The sequence below is a fragment of the Homo sapiens genome, chromosome X (genome assembly GCF_000001405.40).
Source record: "Homo sapiens chromosome X, GRCh38.p14 Primary Assembly".
Taxonomy (NCBI): domain Eukaryota; kingdom Metazoa; phylum Chordata; class Mammalia; order Primates; family Hominidae; genus Homo; species Homo sapiens.
Genome location: NC_000023.11, coordinates 11658597 through 11669822, shown reverse-complemented (window position 1 = coordinate 11669822; position 11226 = coordinate 11658597). Strand labels below are relative to the sequence as shown.

The following is an 11226-nucleotide window of genomic DNA, read 5'->3' as shown; positions in this document are numbered from 1 at the left end:
AAAACATAGAACATGTTGCTAATATTTGCACAGAAAATGAGAAAATGGACAATGTTGCAAGTGGATGTTCGTGTGTTCAATGCAGATGCTGACACAGATACAGTCGTTTTCTTTTACTGAATTTAATTTTTTAAGGTCACAATTGGTGAGAAATGGCAAAATTAGGCACACAGAGTGGGGAAAAACTGGGAAAGATGAATAAGAATAGTCATTTGGGTTTCCGAATATAACGTCAGAAAAAAAAATTTCACAGGTCTGGATATCAACTAGAGGAATATTAAAACCTCAAGTGTGTACCTGGAGGGTTCATGGTTCCAATTCTGGGCTATGTGAAATTGATCCAAAATATTGAGCCAAAAACCTTGCCTGTTGGTATATAAATGTAATAGAAGACAAAAATTTCCTGTACTCAAAGACTCTAGGTTTACCTCCACTGACGTTTGTCGATTGTAATTTAAGTGCTTTGGCAGCTGGCATAGGAATCTAAAGAAACATTTTTAGTTCAGGCATGGGGAAGTTGGGCTATTTAATGCAATTTGCATTCTTAAGCCTTGTAAAATTTCTCCACATATCTCTCATGTATTCCATGCATGTCACACAGATTTAAATGATGCTTCTTTTTCATGTTTCAGGAGCTTGGAGACAGAACCCGGACTTTTATGGGCAAGTGAGATGCTGTGAACTGTTTACCCACTAAGAACATAGAAATGATATCGGGGGATCATGATCAGTTTGAGAGACATGGGCAGGATGAAATGAAAATCAACAATGCTAAAAGTTGGGAGCCAATCAGATAGAAGTCTGAAATATTATATGACACTCAATCAGAAAGTTCAGTGTGATTTGAGACTGTTTAAGCAATGGGATTATATAACAAACAAGAGCAAAATAGGATGCCCTAACCTGGAATATTGGACCTCAGGACTGAAAAACAAAAGCAACTGGAGGGAGTCCAGAAAAGATCATCTACAGTGATGGTTTTAAAGCAAAATATGAACTTTATAGTGTAGCCAAACCACAGAGTCAGACCCAAAGGGCATGATAAAAATCTACAAATAGCTTTGGGGTCTAAACACCAAGGATAAAGAGGAATTTTGGCTGGAGATATGAAAAGCTTCAAGGGATAAAGTTAAGGAAAAGGAAATTTAGGTTAAGCATCAGAATATATCCTTTGATAGTAAGATGTGTGTGTTTGTAGAACAGTCTCTCAAGGGAATAGAAAGAATACTGATGAGTTTTCTAGGATCTCTGATAAGAGGATAGCTTGATGTCAGTCCAAGGATTCTAGAACTTCCATTGGAATATTCTTGTGCCATGACCAGATGGAATAGATAGCATAAGATGTTTTTTAAATCCTAGATGTCTACAATAATTATCATTGGGAATGAATAGTGAACAGAATGTTCTGCTCTTTAATGAAAGGTATCCCAAGTCTTTGATTAACTTTGTCTCTGAGGAAAAAATTAACAAATATAGGCACTATTTTCAATATCAAATGCCCTAATAGAGAAGCAAAGCAAAGTCTTAGAAACCTGCTTTTGAAAGCATATACATTAAAACTATTTATTTCTTGACTACCAATTATAATGCTTCTGAAGCTAGCTGATGAATTGTAAGAAGGATTCTGGGAAGCAATGTAACAAAACCAGCCATTTTTTGAAATTGGTAACCAAAACCCATAGATCTTCCTTAACTGAATTTGGCATAACCTGACAGTTGATCAGAAAGGCCAATGTGAGTTGAGTCTATATAAACAAAGAGAATATATAACAAACAAGAGTTAAATAGAATGCCTTAAATAGGAATGAATGAATCCACCATAAGCCACTATGACTGCAAGGTAAACCTAATAGCAGTCAGGTTGAAAATCAAAATAGTTTTAAAAAAATCCAAAAAAATTCTTACAAAGTCTTTCTAGAAGAACATCAACATCCCCTGCCCCAGGTATTAAAAGCACACATACTTACACTGAGTTTTTAAAAGGAGCCCCAGTCTAATTTGATTAATATTTAAAACAATTTATTCACTGTTCCCAACAATGACACAAGTTTCCAGTTTCCTGGAGGGTCAGGAACACTTGGAAACTAGATGATGAATTAACTGGCATGTGTGTGTTCCAAGCCCTAGGAGTGCTAATAGAAGAATCCCTCTGCTGGTTGGCTCTCCAACACCCATGAGCAAGAATGTATGCCCTTGTGCCTGGGGGCATTCATACTAGCCTATACAGTCATGGCAGGGGTTCATTTGCTACCCCATGGTTATCATATGGGGTTAGAGAAATATATAAATCATCAAATACAATCATCAAGTTGCTCACCCCCCTTGAGTTATAAGTGATTCTGTGAAGTGACTCTGTTAACCATCTACCCCGAATGCCAAACTCCACTGAGGCATAACCATGCAATGAGGCATAACCATGCATTCGTATCCCAGTGGTAGAGACATTAAGTGTTTCCATTACCAGTGATAAATTACAGTTTTGTTACTAAAGAAAGGGCAGACAAGACCCACACACTTTTACTTCTAATGTGACTTGTATGAGGAGGGAAGAAAGCCAATGCCAACAAGCCCCCAAATGTAACTTGGCCTGGGTGTAGTTAGGCAGGGGAGCAAGAGCTCTTTTTAAACACTGTGCCTGTCAGCAGCACACCTGATTGACAGCCGCTGAAAATACTTAAGAAGCTCAGGGTGAGAAGAGATGGACAGCGATGGGGGATGGGAAACTAGAATCGAACTCTGTCTTCAGACAGCAGATAGCTCATTAAAGCTACCGGAAAAAAAATCTCTAAGGGTGCAGTCTGTTCGGCTGCGTTTACAAAAAACGAGTACAGCCAAGACCTGGGAGCCCGACGCCCTTTGTGGAGACAACGAATTCTCCTAATTAGATTTCATGACGTACCTCCTCCAAAATAGCTGAACACCTAGGAACACCAAACACGCTTTTCAAAGAGTCTAAGTAAATTAACTTTTCCCCTGAATATGTCATAGGGAATAAAGGAAGTCTTCCAGAATCAAACTTGGACAATTCTGGTAGATATGCAAGAGGAATGTTCGTGTCCAACATCTGTATTTATAATTTCATTGTATTTTTTCTCCAAAATAAAAGAAATGGTAGAGTCACCTTTACATTTATATAAAATTATCTTCATCCCTAAGTGATAAAAGAGGACACAAACACAAAGTAGACATTTCCAACATTCTGTCTGCTCCCTGCTGAGATGGTTGTAAGTTGCATTGCAAAGCTTAACTGTTACATCAAAAAGCCCTCCAAGAGGGCGAGGCTTTGCGCTTTATAGATTCCAGGGGTCCGACAGCGGGAGAAGCTGCTTTCAGACTCATCTCCTTGCCGGGAAGATTGATTTCCCCAGCGTTCTCCAGCTTCCCAGGACTGTGGCCACCGCGCTGAGACCCGAGGCGTCCCAGAGCGGGACGCGGAGACAGATCGCTTTGTGAGCGCCAATCTCTGCAGCCTCTGGGCTGAAGCTGCGCCCGGCGCCTGCCCCCTACCCGGCCTCACTCACCCCTCCTCCTAGAGCACGTTTCCGCACGTGCTCAGGACCCCTTCCACGGCAAAGGCTCCTCCCCCTCCACTTTCTTAGTAGGTCTCCATCTCCAGCTCATTCATCGGCAGCCACTGCTTTTAGACAGTTTCCTATCTATCCTTCCTTTTTAAAAACAAAAACAGCCGGGACAGGGCGGGGTGGGGGGGCGCGGGGAGAAAAGGCAGGAGATTTAACTCCAACTTCAGAGCAATCGTCCCCGGCTGCCCATCTGACACCAGTGGGTGGGGTGCAATCTGACACTTCCCTTCCTTTCCAGAAACGTGAGTGGAGCTGGCGCGACCCTTGATCTGGGGGTGGGGAGACGGGGGAGAAGGTCCGCACTTCCGTCCTCACGACTTTCTCCCCAGGAGACCCGGTATCAGTGGCGAGCTGCCTTCTCTCCTCGCCGCTTGCAGGTTTGGCGCCTGGAAAACTCTTCACGTTCTGCTTTCTCCTGCTCCTGGCTCCGCCCCAGCTCCAGCCCCGGCATTCCTCCAGCTCTACACGTCCTGGCCGCCCCCTTCCCGCTGCCTCTAGAGCGAGCGTACGGGGTCATCTCCGCGTCTGCCCTGGGCCCAAGGCTGGGCTGCGAATAGCGTGTTCCTCTCCGGCGGAACACACACACCCGGCCTTGGGGCTGTCTCCTGAGCTCCCTCCTCCACGGAGAGCGCTGAGCGCCGCCGGGAATTCCATCCCACCGTGGGCACGCAGTCTTTGGAGGTCCCGGGCGCAGCACGCTCGGTGTCCCCACACTGCAGCAAGACAGAGACCCCGCGGGAACCTTGAGCTTGGAACAACCCTTGAGCCTCTGCAGTCGGAAGAGTGGGCGCAGCAGCCCAGCGGAGGCCAGGCGCGCAACCTCGGGCGCCGGGGCAAGGAGAGAGTGCAGGGAGGCGCAGCTCAGGCGCCCGGCTCAGGAGCGGGAGGAAGTTCTCGCGGCGCCGGGAGCGCGGTGGACGCGCCCTGGGCGCACGCCCAGGCAGCCTTCTCCCTGGCCCTCGGGACTGTCCTCGGGCCGCAAGGAGGAGCTTGCTGGAGTCTTAGAGGCCATCCAGAGCCAGCGAGCAGGAGCGCTGCGTCTCCCGCCTCAGCTAGGAAGGGGGAGTGGCGCTGGCAGGCTGGAGCTGGGAACCCAGCGAGCGCCTGACCTTCCTCCTCCTCTTCCTGACCCTCTTCGCGTCTTGGGCTCCGGAGGAAGGTTCTAGCGGCTGCAGGAGGTCCCCAGACCCATTTTCCTAGAAGGCTGGTGATGGATCTGCTGCTCCTGCCGCCGCCGGGGCACTTGGAGCGCACCGGCGGCGCGTGAGCTGGGCTTTGCTCTCCACTGCCCTGGGCAAACCCCGGGCCAGCCCCGCCTGGCACCTTTGCCTGAGTCCCTTTCGGTTCCCGACCCAAAGCCACCAGCGTCCAGGGAGGGAGGAGGAGGTGGTCCTCAGGTGCAGCCCCGCCGAGATGTCCGCGCAGAGCCTGCTCCACAGCGTCTTCTCCTGTTCCTCGCCCGCTTCAAGTAGCGCGGCCTCGGCCAAGGGCTTCTCCAAGAGGAAGCTGCGCCAGACCCGCAGCCTGGACCCGGCCCTGATCGGCGGCTGCGGGAGCGACGAGGCGGGCGCGGAGGGCAGTGCGCGGGGAGCCACGGCGGGCCGCCTCTACTCCCCATCACTCCCAGCCGAGAGTCTCGGCCCTCGCTTGGCGTCCTCTTCCCGGGGTCCGCCCCCCAGGGCCACCAGGCTACCGCCTCCTGGACCTCTTTGCTCGTCCTTCTCCACACCCAGCACCCCGCAGGAGAAGTCACCATCCGGCAGCTTTCACTTTGACTATGAGGTTCCCCTGGGTCGCGGCGGCCTCAAGAAGAGCATGGCCTGGGACCTGCCTTCTGTCCTGGCCGGGCCAGCCAGTAGCCGAAGCGCTTCCAGCATCCTCTGTTCATCCGGGGGAGGCCCCAATGGCATCTTCGCTTCTCCTAGGAGGTGGCTCCAGCAGAGGAAGTTCCAGTCCCCACCCGACAGTCGCGGGCACCCCTACGTCGTGTGGAAATCCGAGGTAGGGACCAGCGCTGCGCGTCCCACGGCCCAAGGAGGAGGCCCCCAGGCAGTTTCAGGAGACCGCCTTTAATTCCATTACATTTACAGAGCAAGGCACCCACTAAGGGGTTTCCGTGGTGTGGGTTTTCCTCTTCTACTTGCTAAATGGTGCCTGGAAATGGGATGTCCCTAGTGGCCACCCGCTTGTGCGTCTTGTAGGACTTGTTGGCTCTACTTTGGAGCAGTCGTGGGAGCTGGAGAAAGAGATGGTGTTCTGGTTTTCTGTTAGTGCTGCAGGCAATTTCAAAGGGTCACCTTATCCCTTCACCCAATGTTGATATTTTTTCCAACTCAAATATCTATTGCTAAGCTGTTTGTAACGATTGGATGAAATATATTTTGAAATATGTCTGCCATCTTGTTCTGTAGAGAATTCAGAAACATTATTTTGGAGGGTGTCATTGACTGTATGAGTGAGTGTGTGTGTGTGTTTGGGTGGCAGGGGGGACAAGAATTCTCTAGTTTTCACCTTTTCTTTCCCTGAAGGGGCAATTTCAGAAATCTATGGTACTGAGTATTAGTTTAACCTAGGAGAAGAAGAAAATCTCTGTGTAGGGGTGTGAAAGATCATGGAAATATGCTGATGCCTAAATTCCATTTAGAACAATTAGTAGTTTAGTGAAGAATCAACAATACATAGGGGACTCAGAGGGAGCTATCAGATACCCTTAAAATATTTGCTGTCCAGTTAAGAAAAATAGTGAATTGACCTATTGGGAAACTGTCACTGATGGGCGCTTTGAAAATAACACACTTTCAGAGAATAGTAATTGTTTTAAAAATGAACAGCCCCTATCCCCTTCGGTCCACAAACTCTATAGGTTTGCCTTGGATCTGTTTCCATAAGGGAAGGGAGATTCCATCAGTTGTAATTTAATATTTTAAAGTACAGTTAGCATTACAGAAATGAAATGAAATACCATGTAATTGCTGGAGATTTAGGCTAAATACACAACCAAGGAAAACCGTTTGAAAATAGCATCTGAGATCATACTCAGCTGTGTTAATGTGAGATAACTGTTAGACTTTGGCTTTAGTAAACCGCCTTAGAAAAATAAGCATCATTTATCAGAATTATTAGCATCACATATTATTAATGTTAGTTACTGTGTCAAAGTAACTGAGGCTGTTAGGTGTTGGGGGTGCAGATTACAAAAAACTAACAAATTTTGCTAGGTCTTTTGCCCATTTTCTTGAGAAAGATAGGCAGTAGAAAGGAAAGTCGAGGCAGAGGGCAAGATGTTACCTCCAAACCAGGGAACTCAAGATTAGAAAGAGCATCAAAAATTGAAATGTTGAATTTCTCTTGGTCTTTAGGAGGGGCTGGATTCTCATTGTATTTCAGAAGCACACATTATCAGATTAATCTGTACAAGTTGAGAGAAAGAGAAATACAAAAGCAAGCCAGCATTTTGGATTAGCTAGCTAACATTCGTGCTTAAAACTAATTGCATCATTAAGAACATTTCTGCTTTTCTTAGCAACCATATACATACTTGGAATATAGTATACAGATGCTGCTCATTACTGTTATGACCAAAAGGCATGTGGCTGTAGATGATTTCACTTGTTGCAAATTATCTTCTTATCCATTAGCATCTCATAATTAATGGACAAGGATCTGAACTGCAGTGATACTGGGTGGCTTCTATTCCATACAGTGGGCAGTCTGCACAAAACTCATCTACCATGATTTTTACCTTTTCATGGTGGTTAAAACTAAGGATGTAGCCATCTAGCAAAAAGCCAGAATTTTCTCATAGAATATGTGTGTATGTGTGTGTGTGTGTGTTGGAAATTCCTTTATGCTTGAGGCAGGCATGGAGTGATTGGATAGAACTCTAGCATGTAGCTCCAACCCTGGTTTTGTTTAATAAAGGCCAAGATATCCTAACATAACCCTTGGATCTCTAATTTAATGGCCTGGATTACCTTTCAAAGGTTTAACGCCCTGGAACCCTCTGAAAAACCAAGAAAATGTATCCTATTGGGCACTGCCTGTCCTTTTCACTTGCAGGCAAGCTGAGTCTTTGGTCCTTAAAGGAGAGTCTTTACTAATGACATCAAAATGTCAGCCAATGAGCATCTTGCAAGGCTGCTTAGAGGCCCTGGAGGGAATATCTGGTTCATATAGATTTGGTTCTTGAACTTTTCTGGTTGCTCTGGCTCAGGGTTTCTCAGCCTTGGCACTATTGACATTTGAAGCTGAATGATTCTTTGCTACAGAGCTGTCCTGGGTATTGCGGGGTATTTAGCAGCACCCCTGGCCTCTTCCCACTAGATGCGAGTAGCACTCCTCCAGACCAGTGTGACAACAAACAATGTCTCTAGACACTGCTGAATATCCTCTGGGGATCAAAATCGCCCTAACTGAGAACTGCTGCGTTAGTGAGGTTGCCCATAGTACCCCATGCTGGCCATCAAGAGAGTGCCCACAGAAGTGTTTACAGCTGGCCTAAACTTTGTTGGCGCCTTCGTTTGATTCCAAAACCACGAGGATCCCTCTGGAGTCATGTACCCCTTACAGTCTGTTCAAATTTTCTATTTCTCTTCCATTGAATCCATATGAAATCCTAAGAATTCACCTTCAGGTTTAGCCATTGATGGATCTCATCCATTTCCCACTTTGTTCTTTCAGAATCTTGTCTGCTTTTAACGTAAATTGTCCATACAACAGCCCCTGCTCCCAAGACTCTCACAAATGCCTGCAGCTTTGTTACTTGTGCTCGTTCAAAGCTTACAAATGACCATTTTATGGCCTAAACCTGGGAAGTGTTAGGCAAAGTCAGCTACGATCTTGTTAGCATTTCCTCACTACGTGTTTCAGGATTGCTTTAACAAAATCTGATTCCTGGACATGCTGGGTAGATCATCTATTGAGTAGAAACATGGAGGAGACAAAGGGTAAATGGTACGTGGTAACACAGTTGGAACGTGTTTCTCAACTTGTGTTCTTAGCAGCCAAGCTCTGCCCCTGACTCTGATCACAGGCAAAGGAATAAAGTCTCATTTCAATCCTGAGCTTCTCCTAATTCTTGTGGATCAGAGCTGGGATTATGTCCATAGCTAACCTGGAGTTTGCCAACTTTTGCAACCCATAATTAAAATGATTTCTATATATCACTGGCGTCTATACTTTTCTTCATTCATGGCACAAGCATTTCTTGAGCATACGCATTTCTGTAGGTACTAGGAATGCAGAGAGGCTAAAGAGCTCATAGTCTAATGAGGGGACAGGTGAGTTAACTGATAGGGGGAATACAGAAGATCAGCAGAATGAGGGAACAGAGAGGGGCGGGTGATGATTCACTGTGCTTTGGGGGGCCTTGAAAGGCTTCACTGTCCAGAGAACATTTAAACTTGATCTTCAAAGATGACTGCCATTTCTAAGGAGAAGAAGGAAAGTGATGCCTTCATGAGGCAGAAAAGAGTGGACAGGCAAAGGCGCAGAGGTGTTGGTGATTCTACAGCTCCCAAAAAAGAAGACTTAGAGGGCCCTAAGCGCAATAATTTGTTTGGAGGAGCAGGTTAGGGCACCTGCAGTTTGATACACGTACAACCACATGGCTTTTCATGTAATAAAAGCCTGACCGAATAAAGTCAGAAATCAGACCTGTTGGGTTTTTTTTTTTTTTTTTTTTTTTTTTTTTTTTTTTTTTTTTTTTTTTTGAGAGAGAGAGAGTCTCACCCTGTTGCCCAGGCTAGAGTGCGGTGGCACGATCTCAGCTCAATGCAACCTCCCATGTTCAAGCGATTCTCCTGCCTCAGCCTCCCCAGTAGCTGCGACTACAGGCATGCACCAGTAGAGACTGGGTTTCACTATGTTGGCCAGGCTGGTCTTGAACTCCTGGCCTCAAGCCATCTGCCTGCCTCACCCTCCCAAAGTGCTAGGATTACAGGCATGAGCCACCACACCCAGCCTCTACTGGGGGGATAATTATGGGTATGAACAAAAATGAGAGACTGGTCAAAGCACATTACTCTCCAAGGAGCCCCTGGGCATCACAACTGCAGAGAGTGAAGGCATATTGAGTGTTGCCCAAGTGAAGTTTGGGGTGCCTGGAGAAGAGGATGTATCTTGCTGTGTGCAGGATAATAGTGTTCAACAGGTAGGATAGTGGTAATTACGAAGCGTCTCACTGTGCTCATCTCAGGAGTTTGGACTTGTGTAGAGCAGTGATTCTTAACCTGGAGGTGACTTTGTCCCCAGGGGACATTTGGCAGTGTCTGAAGACACAACTGGAAGTGGTGGTGTATTAATTTCCTATCACTGCTGTAATGACCACAAACTTAGTGGCTTCAAGCAACACAAATTTATTGTCTTACAGTTCTGGACCTCAGAAATCCCAACAGGTTTCACTGGGCTAACTTCAAGGTGTTGGCCTGACTGTGTTCCTTCTGAAGGCTCTAGGATCTGTTGTGGTTCCTTTTCCAGTGGCCCCCTTCCTTCATTTTCAAAGCCAGCCAAGTTGCATCTCATCCACTCTTCTTGTGTGGTCATTTCTCTCTCTCGCTCTTTTCGGGACTCTTGTGATTACATTGGGCTCACCTGGATAATCCAGGATAATCTCATTATTTTAATGTCAGCTGATTAGTGACTTTTAATTCCACCTGAAACCTTAAGTTCCCTTTGCTATGAGGTATTCACATGTTTTAGGGATTGGGGCGTGGGCATTTTTGGTGGTATATTATTCTGTCTACCACAGGGGAGTTCCTACCGGCATCTAGTGGGAGGCCAGGGATGCTTCTTTTAAATACCCTGCAGTGCACAGCCCCACAAGGAATAATCATCTGGCAGTCAATGTTAGGAGTGTGGAGACTGAGAAACTCTGCTGTAGAGAGTGGGAGAAATTGGTGATTTTTAAGCATGAGGTGTAACATGATCAGATGTGTTTTAGAGGTAAACTGGTGTCTGGGGGAGCATGGGTTAGAAGCATAAAACAAGTGGAGGACAGATCCTCAGAGGAGGTGGGCATGGGGAAATCATGCCAAGCATGCATCCTATAAATAACTGGGAGTTGGCATATAAACATAATACTTTTATATTTCCCACTTCTCTGTTTTAGTAAAGTTTTTCTTGCTCTGTTGAACTCCTTGAAAGCAGAACTGTTACTCATCTTTGAATTCTTAAAATCTGGCCCCTGTACTCTGGGGGTTTTAGAGAGATCATCATAAAGACCAGTGGTTCTCAACCAGGAGAAAGTTTGTACCACAGTGTACTTTTGGCAATGCCTGGCAGCATTTTTGATTGCCAGAACTGGGGCAGGAGTGTGCTACTGGCGTCTAGTGGGTATAGGCCAAAGGTACTGGTAAACATCCCACAACACACACAACAGCCCCCACAAACAAATACTTATCTTACATAAAATGTCAATAGTGCTGAGGTTGAGACGCCCTGTATACAAGAAACTGAATTCCAGGTTTTGCTTTTCAGTACCATTTTCTCTCATGCTTGTGGCTTTACTCTTTGTCATTTTCCTCTTCTTATCTAGTATATGTCAACCAAGGCTTTGAAATTCAAAAAAATGACTTTCTATGGGTATTGAGCATATGAAAAAAAATAAGGGATTTCTAAATATATCTATAGGGAAGAAGTGAATGGT

At 45.9% G+C, this 11226-nt stretch overlaps 1 protein-coding gene across 3 annotated transcripts in view; it reads left to right on the top strand.

Moving 5' to 3' along the window:
• ARHGAP6 (Rho GTPase activating protein 6) overlaps positions 3903 to 11226 on the top strand; it is a 528377-nt gene continuing 521053 nt past the window's right edge. For all 3 annotated transcript variants that reach the window (NR_109776.2, NM_013427.3, NM_006125.3), the window contains exon 1: positions 3903 to 5582. Coding sequence is in view for 2 of the 3 variants with exons in the window: in NM_013427.3 (NP_038286.2) it covers positions 4995 to 5582 (588 nt within the window). In the remaining variant the exon portion in view is untranslated. The remainder of the gene's footprint in view (positions 5583 to 11226) is intronic.